The sequence below is a fragment of the Homo sapiens genome, chromosome 7 (assembly GCF_000001405.40).
Source record: "Homo sapiens chromosome 7, GRCh38.p14 Primary Assembly".
Classification (NCBI taxonomy): domain Eukaryota; kingdom Metazoa; phylum Chordata; class Mammalia; order Primates; family Hominidae; genus Homo; species Homo sapiens.
The window spans coordinates 66,524,680-66,538,731 of NC_000007.14; the positions used below are offsets into that span (position 1 = coordinate 66,524,680).

The following is a 14,052-nucleotide window of genomic DNA, read 5'->3' on the forward strand; positions in this document are numbered from 1 at the left end:
GCAGGGGTTGAGGGGTCACTGGATGCCATAAGTGTGTTTCCAGAGCTCTCAGAGGGGCAGAGTGGTCAGATGATGTTGGAAAGGTGGAGACAGTGGAAACTGCAGCAGCACAATGCAGTCAGTGTGCCTCCAGTGGACACCCGGCTGAGAGGTCACTGGGTTTCTGGCCCTGCACTGGGTGCTTTATGCAGGTGCCTTTCACACATATTTCGGGAGATCCTGCTGGGGCAAGGTGGTATTCTAGGAACTAGGGTTACAGCGGAGTGCAGACAGAGGAGGCATCTCATTTAGTCTTCACACCTAGGAGGTAGATGCTAGAGCTCACCTTACAGAGGGGGAAACTGAGGCTCAGTGTGAGTGATGTATTAATACTCTGTGTCCCAGGGCTAGCAGGTGGCCGTGGCCCCAGCCCTCAGGGATGGACCTGCCAGCCCCTTTCCAGGCGTTGGCACCCAAGCCAGGTATCCACCAGGTATCCACACTTACTCATGCCACTAGTCATGCTGGGCTGGGAACATGTCCAGGCTCCTGGGAGTCTCGGAGGGTTCACCAGAAGTCTTTGAGTGCTATTCCTGCACCAGAATGGGCTTTTCTCAAACCCCTCCCTCACACAGTGCCCAAAGCCTGGCCTGGGCCAGCACCAGCAGTTCTGAGGCGAATCGGAGTGGAAGCTGGGGTCTGCTGGGGGAGGCAGAGGCAATAGCAGGCTCCTTCATCTGGAGGCAGTTGTCCCAGGGCAGGTGGAGGGGTGGCAGATAGTTGCAGAGAGGCAGATGGCTGGGGACAGTGTCCAGGAGTCAGCCTTCAGGGTCTTAGGCAGCATGTGGGCCATGGGAAAGTGCCATCTTGTTCAAGTCCCTGTACCTGCCTGACTAGCCATGGGAATCTGAGCCTTCGCTTCCTTACCGCCAAGATGGACAAGCATACCTGCCTCGCCATGTGATCTGAATATGGAAAAAGATGGGCAGTGCTAGGTGAGCTGGAAGGACTGTTTTCCCCCAATTGCCTTTTTTTTTTTTTTTTTTGAGATGGAGTTTAGCTCTTATTGTCCAGGCTAGAGTGCAATGGCATGATCTCAGCTCACTGCAACCTCCACCTCCCAAGTTTAAATGATTCTCCTGCCTCAGCCTCCTGAGTATTTGGGATTATAGGCGTGTGCCACAGCATCCAGCTAATTTTTGTATTTTTAGGCACCCTAACATGGTGAAAGGCCAGGCTGGTTGGCCAGGCTGGTCTCCAACTCCTGGCCAGGCTGGTCTCCAACTCCTGGCCAGCCTCAAGTGATCCACCCATCTTGACCTCCCAAAGTGCTGGGATTACAGGTGGGCGTGAGCCACCGCACCCAGCCACCTTTCTTTTTGTCCTCGTTTGCAAATACAGAATGGACCTGAGTCTGCAAACTCAGAAGTGCGAGACATGTATTTTTATTTTTATAAAATTGAACTGGACTCCTACCAAAAGCCCCCAATGCAGAGTGGCAGAAACTTTATCGGAGTCCATTTTGGATCATCATTTCCCTTGGGCTTGTACCAGGGCCTGGAACCTTCTGTGAGGCCCACCCAGTAGACACTTCCACACCACAGAGAGACTGAGCATGAGAAGGTCCGTGCTTGAAAAAGGCCTAACAGTGGGATCTCGGTGCAAGGATGGGAGAGTGGAAACCGAGTGGTGAAGAGATGACTGTGGCACTTAGCAGGGAATTCCTGGGAGGGTGAGGCTTCGGGAAGTTTCCAGGGAGACAAACCCTGTTAAGAATGGCTCTAGGGCCGGACGTGGTAGCTCATGCCTATAATCCCAGCACTTTGGGAGGCCGAGGCGGGCAGATCACGAGATCAGGAGTTCGAGACCGGCCTGCCCAACATGGTGAAACCCCGTCTCTACTAAAAATACAAAAAAATTAGCTGGGCATGATGGCGGATGCCTGTAATCCCAGCTACTCGGGAGGCTGAGGCAGGAGAATCGCTTGAAACTGGAAGTCGGAGGTTGCAGTGAGCCGAGATCATGCCGTTGCACTCCAGCCTGGGCAACAAGAGTGAAACTCCGTCTCAAAACCACAAAGCAAAAAAAAAAAAAAAAAAAAAAAGAATGGCTCTAAACCAGGAACAGTGGTTCACCCCTGTAATCCCAGCACTTTGGGAGGACAAGGTAGGAGGATCGCTTGAGGCCAAGAGTTTGAGGTCAGCCTGGGCAACATAACAAGACCCCGTTTCTACAAAAAATTTAAAAATTAGCCGGGCACGGTGGCATGCACCTGTAGTCTCAGCTACTCAGGAGGCCAAAGCAGGAGGAAGGCTTGAGCCCAGGAGGTGGAGGTTGCAGTGAGCTGAGATTGTGCAACTGCACTCCAGCCTGGGTGACAGAGCATGATGCTGTCTGAAAAAAAAAAAAAAAAAAAAAGGAATTGCTCTGAGATTTTTTTTTAGGTCACTTATTGAAGGTTCCCATGGAAGCCTTTCCTAACAGAACCACACCAAGAAGGTAAAAATTCTGAAAGAGATTATGCTTTTTTGTTTTTGTTTTGTTTTGTTTGTTTTAAGATGGAGTTTCGCTTCTTGTTGCCCAGGCTGGAGTGCAATGGCACGATCTTGGCTCACTGCGATCTCCACCTCCCGAGTTCAAGTGATTCGTCTGCCTCAGCCTCCCAAGTAGCTGGAATTACGGGTGTGCACCACGACACCTGGCTAATTTTTGTATTTTTAGTAGAGACAGGGTTTCACCCTGTTGGCCAGGCTGATCTCAAACTTCTGACCTCAGGTGATCAGCCCGCCTCAACCTCCCAAAGTGCTGGGATTACAGGCATGAGCCACCACGCCTGGCTGAGATTGTGCTTTTTTGAAGATGAATCAGTCATTAAATTGCAAGAGCCCCACTGCACCCCGGAGCTGTGGGCCTCCCCAGTGTACACTCCTGGGGAGTACAGCCACTCCTGGACTGGTTTTGTTCTGGGTCAAAAGAGATGACTCAGGCCAGACGTGGTGGCTTATACGTATAATCCCAGTATTTTGGGAGGCCAAGATGGGAAAATCACTTGAGCCCAGGAGTTTGAGACCAGCCTGGGAAACATAGCAAGATCCCATCCTGCAAAGACATTTTTTTAAATTAGCCAGACATGGTGGGGACGAACACCTGTACTCCCAGCTACTCGGGAGGCTGAGGTGGAAGGATCCCTTGAGCCTAGGAGTTGGAGGCTGCAATGAGCCATGATTCCAGCGTGCATGACAGAGTGAGATCTTGTCTCTAAAAAAAAGAGAGAGAAGCCCAGAATGTCTTTAATGTTTTCCCAACTGGGGACATCACATCTGCCCTCAGTGCCTCAGTTTCCCCATTAAAATCTAGAGGCCCTGCCTGCTCTGACATGCTGAGTGGCAGGCAGGCATCTGGCTGGAGAGGAAGGCATACTTGGACTTGGACCAAGCCTCAGGGGGCAGTGGGTCAATTTCAGGCCTCAGGTCAAGGGAGCTGTGGACCAGGGATTTCTGGGGGCCAGGGGTGCTGGAAGGCACCAGGCTGAACCAGAGGGGACCTGGTGGGGGGCCTGGGGTTGCAGAGGGATGGGGGAGCTGGGTCCCCCAACTCGCACCAGAAGGAACTCCAGCCCTGCCTGCAAGGGGCTGAGACAACCCACGCTCGACCCTGAGGGCTGAACACCATTGGTAGCTGGTAGCTCTATACTGCCCAACCAGGCCACACCCCACCTGCCCGCAGTGGCACTGAATTAAATTAGGGAGACTGCCAGGTGCGGTGGCTCACGCCTGTAATCCCAGCACTTTGGGAGGCTGAGGCGGGTGGATCACGTAAGGTCAGGAGTTCGAGACCAGCCTGGGCAACATGGTGAAACCCCGACTCTACTAAAAATACAAAAATTAGCCCGGTGTGGTGGCGGGCACCTGTAATCCCAGCTACTTGGGAGCCTGAGGCAGGAGAATCGCTTGAACCCAGGAGGTAGAGGTTGCAGTGAGCTGAGATTGCGCCACGGCATTCCAGCCTGGCAACAGAGGAGACTGTCTTAAAAAAAAAAGAGAGAGACAGGTGGAAAGCCCACAGGTGAAGAGGTGAAGCCCAGGGAGAAACTTACTAAAGGAGGTGATTGGTTGCACCAGCCTCTGCTGGGCAGTCAGTCCTAACGCCTGAGACTAGATGGAGGGGCTAAGCAACAGGTTGCAGTGCGATGGTTCAAAGCAGTTTTGGGGGAAGTGGTGGGGACCAGAGTGGAATAGTGGGCTCAGGAGAGAATGAGAAAGGCAAGTGATTGAATCTGCCAAAGACAGATCACCTTTTAGAGGGCAGGAGAGAATGAGCAAGAGTGGAGAGTGGAATGGATGCAGAGAGGGCTTTATTTTTTTGGTGGAGGGAGGGGACAGAGTCTTGCTCTATCACCTAGGCTGGAGTGCAGTGGCGCAATCTCGGCTCACTGCAACCTCCGCCTCCCGGGTTCAAGTGATTCTCCTGCCTCAGCCTCCCAAAGTGCTGGGATTACATATGTCACCCACCACACCCAGCCAAGAGAGGGTTTTAGAGGCAGGAACAGCAGCTGCATGATCTTCAGCAGATTCAGTAGAGAGGGAAGTGAGCTGTGGGAGAGGAAGGAGGATGGGGGAAATGGCAAGAAAAGGAGCACCCTGCTTAGAAAGGGAACGGAGCCGGGTGTGGTGGCTCACGCCTGTAATCCAGCACTTTGGGAGGCCGAGGCAGGAGGATCACTTGAGCCCAGGAGTTTGAGACCAGCCACATAGCAAGACCCCATCTCTATTTTTTTGGAAAAAAAAAAAAAAAAAGCAGCAAGCAACAGGATGGGTGGAAGAGAGTTGCTGAAGGCTCTTGCAAGATCCTCTCTGCCTGCTCCTTCTCTCACAGAGGGACAGGGGAGGGTGATGAGTCAGTGGACTGAATGTCCCCATGGGGATGAAGGATGGTTGGGGTCAGGGTCCTAGAGGGAGGGCTGGAAGGAGGGAAGGAGATGGCCAGAGAAGGATGTAGGACACAGAGGTGCCGCCGTGGATCACCAAGAGGTTCAGGACTGGCCAGAGGAAGGAGAGGAGATCAAGGCAAGCATGAGGCACTTGGGAGATGCATCTGTGCCTGCACACAGCTGAAATCCCCAGGAAATAAGACGGGAGCAGGGTGGGTTTCTGCAGCCGAGGTGAGACCAAAGTGCCAGCTCACTGCCACCCTCAGTAAAGACTAACTTGCCCTTCCCCACAACTCCCCTCCCAGAAGTAGCTTGCTCTCCTCTGCCTGCCACACATCGGGGGGCTCAGGGAAAGCTCCCCCTCCCTGGACAGCTAGTGTTCCCTAGGCCAAGGCCAGTCCCTGCAGAGATGAGGAGCTGGGAAATCCCCTCCTCCCATCCCGCACGTCCACGCGTGCCAGATCCTGTGCTGCGGGCTTTTCACACACAGCCTCTTAGCCTGTGAGGCGGGTGCTGTTGTCCTTCCCATTTTGCAACTGAGCAAACAGCCTGAAAGAGACAAAAACCAGGTAGTTAGCATGACCCCAAAGCCACTCCCTGGTCTACGCTGTTCTGCAGCCTGAGCCTGGGGTGGCCAGGCGGGGTTGTGCAGTGGGGGGAAGGAGAATAGCCCCCAGAAATGCTGCCGGAATGGTAAAGGGCCTGGACTGCAAAGCTAGTGACTTGAGCTTTATTTTGTGGCACTGGAGGTTTTCCCAGTCATTGTAATGATACAATCAGATTTGCGTTGTCTTCAAGTTACCATGGTAACCGTACTTCCACCCACCAAGAGTGGATTGGAGAAGGCAAAACTAGGGCAGAGAAGCCAGGGAGTGTTGAGAAGGTCTGAACCCAGACAGTGGGCAGCTGGGCCCCAAGACGGATGGGGGACTCCAGAAGCGTGGAGCTGGCAGAGAGAAACCTGCCCGGGGCATCAGAGAAAAGGGCGACTGTGCAGGAACAGAGTAGATGAGGTGGGGGAACCTTTGGGTAAGAAGAGCTGAATCAGGAGCATTGAGGCAGCGGTTTTCAAACCTCAGAAGCAACAGCAGGGCCGGTCGCGGTGGCTCAGCCTGTAATCCCAGGACTTTGGGAGGCTGAGGCGGGTAGATCACCTGAGGTCGGGAGTTCGAAACCAGCCTAGCCAACATGGTGAGACCCTGTCTCCACCAAAAAATACAAAAATTAGCCAGGCATGGTTGGCAGATGCCTGTAATCCCAGCTACTCGGGAGGCTGAGGCAGGAGAATGGTGTGAACCCGGAAGGCGGAGGTTGCAATGAGCCGAGATCACGCCACTGCACTCCACCCTGGGCGACAGAGCGAGACTCTATCTCCAAAAAAAAAAGGCCAGATGCAGTGGCTCACGCCTGTAATCCCAGCACTTTGGGAGGCCAAGGCAGGAGGATTGCTTGAAGCCAGGAGACCAGCCTGGGCAACATAGTGAGATCCTGTCTCTACAAAAAATGAAAACAATGAGCCAGTGTGGTGGTGCACATCTGTAGTCTCAGGTACTCAGGAGGCTGAGGAGGGAGGATTGCTTGAGCCCAGGAAGTCAAAGCTGCAGTGAGCTATGATCACACCACTGCACTCTGGCCTGCGAGACAGAATGAGACCTTGTCTTTCAAAAAAAAAAAAATTCTAGAATTGTTCTTGAATAGCAGTGGTTAACATCTTTTAAAAACTTTGGAAGGTAGTGAACTCCCCATCACTGGAGGCATTTAGCAGAGGTTGAGCTGCCACTCACCAAAGAGGCCTCTTCATGTAGGGCTTGCTGCAGGAGACAAGAAGGACAGGAGAGCCCCGCCTGTTTGCAAGGGGCTGCGGGGAGGACTAGAACCAAGGAGGGGCCCCTCTACCCACCAAATCCACTTCTCTTTGCTGCCCCGCCACCAGCTCCCTGCAGCTCCTCCCTGCATATGGGCCCAGCTGCCCCTCTCCAGCTCCCTTTTGGGCAAACACGAGGTCTCTCCCTGGACCCAGGCCAGCTTCCGCTCCTTTTAGTTCTCCTCTGACCCTGGGGGTACAGCCGTCCCTGCCAGCTTGAGGGGACTCTGGGAAGGCAGCGCCCCACCTCTCCTTCCCCAGAGCAGGGGCTCCAGATCCCAGGGATGGAGCAGAGCTGCCAACTTCCTGTGTGACTCCAGCAAGTCAGGCTTGCCTACCTGGGCTTCAGTTTCCCTACTTGTGAAATAGGAAGAGGCTGAGGCAGGAGAATCGCTGGGACCCAGGAGATGGAGGTTATTCTGTGTCAAAAAAAAAAAAAAAAAAAAGGGTGTCAGCAGGGCTGGGTCCTTCTGGAGGCTCTAGGGGAAAATGTTTCCTTGTCTTTTTTTTTTTTTTTTTTTTTTTTTGAGACAGAGTCTTGCTGTGTCCTTCAGGCTGGAGTGCAGTGGCGCGATCTCGGCTCACTGCAACCTCTGCCTCCCAGGTTCAAGCAATTCTCCTGCCTCAGCTTCCTGAGTAGCTGGGATTACAGACACGTGGCACCATGCCTGGCTAATTTTGTATTTGTAGTAGAGACGGGGTTTCACCATGTTGCCCAGGCTGGTCTCGAACTCCTGACCTCAAGTGATCTGCCCACCTTGGCCTTCCAAAGTGCTGGGATTACAGGCGTGAGCCACTGAGCACCGCCCCGTTTTAAGGATTAAATGAATCCATGCAAAGATCAAAGAGCAGTGCCTGGCACAGAAGAGCTCAGGTTCTCTGAGTCACCAAGTGCCCATGAGGGGTCGGGCATTTTTTTTTTTTTTTCTGAGACGGAGTCTTGCTCTGTTGCCTAGGCTGGAGTGCAGTGGCACGATCTCAGCTCACTGCAAGCTCTGCCTACTGAGTTCAAGCGATTATCCTGCCTCAGCCTCCTGAGTAGCTGTGACTACAGGCGCGCACCACCTCGCCCACCTAATTTTTTGTATTTTTAGTAGAGACGGGGTTTCGCCATGTTGGCCAGGCTGGTCGTGAACTCCTGGCCTCAAGCGATCCACCTGCCTCGGCCTCCCAAAGTGCTGGGATTACAGGTGTGAGCCACCGCGCCCAGCTGGGTTCAGTAATTCTTAGCATATTGCCATTTTCCCTGCTCTATCTCTGTCTCTCACACACACGCACACATACATACACACACACAAATAATTTCTTTTTCTCCATTTGAAGTTGCAAACATCTTGACTCTTCATGCCTAAATATTTCAATGCACATCTCCTAAGAAAAACACTATTATCTTACATACTCACAATAGTATCATCACACTTATAAAACTGAGTAATTCCCTGTCATCTAATATATGGTCTTTATTCAAATTTCCAAAAACGTCTTCTGTGCCTGTTCTCATTCATGATATAATCATTTTTCACTGGTTGATTTTTTAAATTTTTTTTTAAAGACAGTCTCCCTCTTGCCCAGGCTGGAATGCAGTGGCACAGTCATAGTTTACTGCAGCCTGGACCTTCTAGGCTCAAGCCATCCTACCACCTTAGCCCCTCGAGTGGCTAGGACTACAAGCACACGTGCTACCATGTCCAGCTCATATTTTATTTTTTATTTTTGTAGAGATAGGCTGGAGTGCAGTGACACTATCACATAGCTCACTGTAGCCTCCAACTCCTAGGTTCAAGCAATCCTCCCGCATCAGCCTCCCGAGTAGCTGGGACTACAGCCAGGTGCCACTGCACCAGCTACTCTTAAATTTTTTGTAGACAGAGTCTCTATATGTTGCTCAAGGCTCGTCTCCAACTCCTGTCCTCAAGTGATCCTCCTGCCTTGGCCTCCCAAAGTGGTAAGATTACAGGCGTGAGCCACCACACCAGGCTCACAGGTTAATTTTTTTTAATTATTTTACTGTGTATGTTTGCCTAAACAAAAATTATTTCATTTTGCTTATAATTTTACTTTTTTTTTTTTTTTTGAGATGGAGTCTCGCTCTGTCACCCAGGCTGAAGTTGTGTGATCTCAGCTCACTGCAACCTCCACCTCCGGGGTTCAAGTGATTCTCTGGCCTCAGCCTCCCAAGCAGCTGGGACTATAGGCGCCTGCCACCATGCCCAGCTTATTTTTTGTATTTTTAGTAAAGACAGGGTTTCACCGTGTTAGCCAGGATGGTCTCCATCTCCTGAACTCATGATCCACCTGCCTCGGCCTCCCAAAATGCTGGGATTACAGGCGTGAGCCACCGCGCCCAGCCTATAATTTTACTTTTATAACAAAGGCATGTTACTGAATAGAATCTGGGTCTTGCTGTTTACCACTTAGCTCTGGTTGACATAATGTCAAAGTGTGTAGCTGTAGCCTCTTAGTTCTCATGGCTCTATAATCTTCCATTGAGTGGAATTTTACCATGATGCAATTCCTCACTCTCCTCTCCTTGGGGATTGGGCTGCTTCCATTGTTTTGCTGTTACTAAGAATGCAATTAACACTTATAGCCGGGCGTGACGGCTCATGCCTGTAAACCCAGCACTGTGGGAGGCCGCAACCGGAGGATCCCTTGAGCTCAGGAATTTGAGACCGGCCTGGGCAACATGGCAAGACCCCATCTCTACTAAAAACACAAAAAAATTAGCCAGGCATGGTGGCACGCTTGCTACTCAGGAGGCAGAGGTCGCAGTGAGCTGAGATCATGCCACTGCACTCCAGCCTGGGCAACAGAGCGAGATCCTGTCTCAGAAAAAAAAAAAAAAAAAAAAAAGCAACGGAAGAGAAGCATAGATCCATTAAAAAGTTTAAGGCCCAGCCTGGTGGCTTACGCCTGTAATCCCAACACTTTGGGAGGCCGAGGGGGAAGGACTGCTTGAGGCCAGGAGTTTGAGATCAACCTGGGCAATGTAGCAAGATCCTGTCTCTACAAAAATTTTAGAATTAGCCAGACGTGGTGGTGTGCACCGGTAGGCCCACATACTCAGGAGACTGAGGCAGGAGGATGAGGTCAAGGCTTCAGTGAGCTAGGATCGCACCACTCCATGGGTGACAAAATGAGTCTACATCTCTAAAAACATAATTTTTGAAAAGCAGAGGAAGAAGGCCGGGTGCAGTGGTTCACGCCTATAATCCCAACACTTTGGGAGGCCGAGGTGGGTGGATTGCTTGAACCCAGGAGTTCAAGACCAGCCTGGGCAACATGGTGAAAACCCATCTCTACTAAAAATAGAAAAATTAGCCAGGCATGGTGGTGCACGCCTGTAATCCCAGCTACTCGGGAGGCTGAGGCAGGAGAACCACTTGAACCCGGGAGGCAGAGGTTGCAGTGAACTGAGATAGTGCCACTGCACTCCAGCCTGGGCAACAGTGAGAGTCCATCTGAAAAAAAATAAAATAAAATGCAGAGGAAGAGAAGTGGAGATTCCCCCATTCCAGCAGCCTCCTTCCCACCCACACTGGAGTTTTGGATTTGGGGGTTTGATGGCTCTGGCATGTCTAGGCCCTAGAGGGGTTCAGAAGGAGGGGTCTTGGGGACACAGAGAGTACTTCAACAATCCCACTTTAAGACAGTTCCCTTTGGGCCGGGCACAGTGGCTCACACCTGTAATCCTAGCACTTTGGGAGGCCGAGGCGGGCAGATCAACTGAGGTCAGGAGTTCGAGACCAGCCCAGCCAACATGGTGAAACCCCGTCTCTACTAAAAATACAAAAATTAGCTGAGTGTGGTGGCTTGTGCCTGTAGTCTCAGCTACTCGAGGGGCTAAGGCAAGAGAATTGCTGGAACCTGGGAGGTGGAGATTGCAGTGAGCCCAGATCATGCCGCTGCACTCCACCCTAAGCGACAGAGCGAGACTCCATCTCAAGAAAAAAAAGACAGTTCCCTTTGTAAAATGGGTCAAGGCTTAAGGGCCCCTCCTGCACGCAGTGTCCAGGCTCAGCCAGGTCTGATGGCAGAAGCAACACAGACTCATGATCATTGGCCTGGGCACAGGTCTCTGCCACGGGCACAGGTCTCTGCCCCACTGCAGCTTGGCCCTCCTCTCTCCAGGCCTCAGTTACCTCATCCATGAAATGGAGCTGAAGGAATTCCTGCTAAACCTGTGCACAGGCCCTACAAGCAGTTAAATGCTGAACCTGAATGTACCTTTTTTATTTTTTCAAGACTGAGTCTCACTCTGTCACCCAGGCTGGAAAGCAGTGGTGCAATCGCTGCAGCCATGAACTCTGCCCCGGCCTGGCAGTGAGTTGGGGCTCTGTGAAATGGTTCAGGAGGGGAGAGGAAGGCTATTATCCCACGCTTCTGCTACAGATCGCAGTCTCTCCCCTCTAAACCGCCCTTGCCCTTCGCTGGCTGCGTCTCCCTGCTGTGAATGGTCGTAATTACCAATACGAGATCGTCAGTCTGAGCTAAAGACCTCTAACTAGGCAGGGAGAGGCCAAGGCTGGCCAAGGCTCTTGCACTTTGCCCCAGGAGAGAGCCACAGAGCCAGCCCAGGCATCACCCCAGCCAGTTGGTTTAAAATTGTGTACATAGCATGGCTGTGATTCAGTGAGCTTGGTTGTCTTTTTTTTCCCCCTTCGCAAAATTCAGTTACTCCTTGGGCTAACAGACAGCAGGTTGGAAAAGATAAGCTGAGAGTTGCCCAGGCAGTGTTAAAGAGAGAGGAGACCGAAGAACAGCATGAGCAGGAAGGGGCAGGAGAAATGTCAAGGGAAGGCCTGTCCACCAAAGGCGTCACTGTCCAGGGGCAGTGGGCAGGAGGTCACTGCTGCAGGGATGGGTTCTTTCAGCAGGACTTTCTGCACAGCACTAGGGGCAGACCATGAGGTGAACCCCCACACACACTGAGTCCTAACTATGACATTTCCAAACAGAACACTCTGAAATGTTTGCAGCCGTGGGTGTCATTTACAGCCAGCCTGGGTTCAGGAAAGCTCAGGCAGGTGCCCCCAAGAATAGGTTTGCTGACTTGGCATTCAGGACAGTAAACTAAACCCACTCCCCTGACCCCCCTTTTTTTTTTTTTGAGATGGAGTTTTGCTCTTGTTGCCCAGGCTGGAGCACAGTGGTGCAATCTCGGCTCACTGCAACCTCCGCCTCCCAGGTCCAAGCGATTCTCCTGCCTCAGCCTCCCAAGTAGCTGGGATTACAGGCACCCGCCACCACGCCCAGCTAATTTTTTTGTATTATTAGTAGAGATGAGGTTTCACCATGTTGGCCAGTCTGGTCTTAAACTCCTGACCTCTGGTGATATGCCCACTTCAGCCCCACAAAGTGCTGGGATGACAGGCGTGAGCCACTGCACGCCTGCCCATTGCTGCTCTACAGATGAGGACATAGAGTGGTTCAGGGACTTGCCCAGGGTCGCGAGCTGATAGCAGAGCTGGGATTTGAACCCAGGCAATCAGTCTTGGGTAGACCATTGGGCTTGTGGCCCTGGCCTTGCAGGGCCTGGTATTGCGCCTGCCCCTGCAGTGTTCTCAGCAGCTCTCTGAGGCGGTTCTCTGATCCGTGTTTTTCCCGTGAGCAGATTAGACTCAGAGGTGACCAGGCATGCTGGAGCTGCCCTGCCCCACCCGAGGCTGAGGCCACCACTGCCCACAGCAGTCCTTGGGGAGCTCCCTGATGGTGACAAGATGAGGGTGGCAGGAGCCTGGCTCTGTCAGGAAAGGGGACTCATGACCCACCTGCAGCTCTCTGAGGTGCTCAGCTGGTCTGGGCATGGTGGCTCATGCCTGTACCTCAGCACTTTGGGAAGCCAAGATGGGTGGATTGCTTGAGCTTAGGAGTTGAAGATCAGCCTGGGCAACATAGTGAGACCTTGTCTCTACAAATAATACAAAAATAAGCCAGGTAGTGGCACACACCTGTAGCACCAGCTTACTCGGGAGACTGAGGATGGAGGATGGCTTCAGTCCAGGAGGCGGAGGTTACAGTGAGCTGAGATTGCTCCACTGCACTCCAGCCTGGGCAACAGAGCCAGACCATCTCAATTAACAAACAAACAAACAAAAAACGCCTGGCTGGGGCATCTAGGTTAGCAAGGATCTTAGCATTCTCCCTCCCTCGGGGCTAACCAGTGTGGGCGAGCTGTCTCGGTTGCAGCAGTGGCCACGATTCCTGGCGGGAGAGACTGGCACCAGCCTGCACACCTCAGAGCCCCAACAGGAATATCTGTTCAGATCGAGATGTTGCCCTTTCCCCTACAGGGCACGGCTAGAGCACAGACACAAACCCAGTGTCAGGTCCCCAGACACGGCAGGGGACAGGGGAGTCGGTCTTCACCTGTGGTTCAGGTTCCCTCCCAGACAGTGCCCAAGGAGCTGCCTCTGGTGCACTCACAGTTCCCAGAAGAGCTGGGATGGGACTACAGGTGTGCACCACCATGCCCAGGTTTTTTTTTTTTGGTAGAAACAGGTTTTCCCTGTTGCCCAGGCTGGTCTCAAACTCCTGGCCTCAAGCAATAGTCCCACTTCAGCCTTCCAAAGTGCTGGCATGACAGACATGAGCCACTATGCCCAGCCTGTAGTGCTTTTTGCTATGTGAGATTAGACCCAGCAGGCCCAGAGTCTCAAATTAGGAAACAGAGAGGTTGAGTGACTTTCCATACACCACACAGCATTAGGGGTTAGAATCAAGATTGCCTTCCTGTCTAATGAGCCAGGGACCTTCCCCATCCCTGGCCCTGGGGATCCCCCTTTTCCCCAGTGTATGCAGGAATTCAAGCAGGAGCTCGAACAATCCAGCCCCTACCAGAGCCTGCCCTACCCCATTTCCTTCAGAAACTCATGATTTAAAAAAATGTAACCTGGGCGACATGGCAAGATCCCATCTCTACAAAAAATGGAAAAATTAGCTGGGTGTGGTGGCCTGCACCTGTAGCCCCAGCTACTGCACTCCAGCCTGAATGACAGCAAGACCCTGTCTCTAACAAAAAAAAAAAAAAAAAAAAGTAATCCTCTTTCCTCTAAATTAAATAAAGAGGTAGGAAAATGCAAGAGCAGCTACAGAGAAAAATCAGTGTTCTTCCAGAGCTTGTTGACTGAGCTAGAGAATCCCACGGACAAGGTATACTGTGGGCTTTGCACAGTGTCTGCACGTAATATGGCCAAGCTTGTTTTTTATTTTTTAATTTGTTTGTTGTTAGTTTGAGACAGGGTCTAGCTCAGTTGCCCAGGCTGGAGTGCAGTGGTGC

At 52.0% G+C, this 14,052-nt stretch overlaps 2 pseudogenes across 1 annotated transcript in view, besides 1 other annotated feature; one reads left to right on the forward strand and one right to left on the reverse strand.

The window, feature by feature from the left end:
* Window positions 1-14,052, forward strand: part of LOC100420547 (GTF2I repeat domain containing 1 pseudogene) — a 34,118-nt pseudogene that overhangs the window by 13,126 nt on the left and 6,940 nt on the right.
* Window positions 5,626-14,052, reverse strand: part of RABGEF1P1 (RABGEF1 pseudogene 1) — a 62,103-nt pseudogene continuing 53,676 nt past the window's right edge. The window contains exons 10-11 of the transcript NR_111973.1: window positions 7,112-7,192; window positions 5,626-6,720 (exon numbers count right to left, since the gene is read on the reverse strand). The product of NR_111973.1 is annotated as an RABGEF1 pseudogene 1, transcript variant 2 (transcript). The remainder of the gene's footprint in view (window positions 6,721-7,111; window positions 7,193-14,052) is intronic.
* Window positions 5,727-6,591: an enhancer, noted in NCBI's record as "H3K4me1 hESC enhancer chr7:65995393-65996257 (GRCh37/hg19 assembly coordinates)". NCBI's record gives its function as "activates a minimal SCP1, AML or CMV promoter by ChIP-STARR-seq in primed H9 embryonic stem cells {active_cell/tissue: H9 hESC(primed)}" and the evidence as "EXISTENCE:reporter gene assay evidence [ECO:0000049][PMID:30033119]".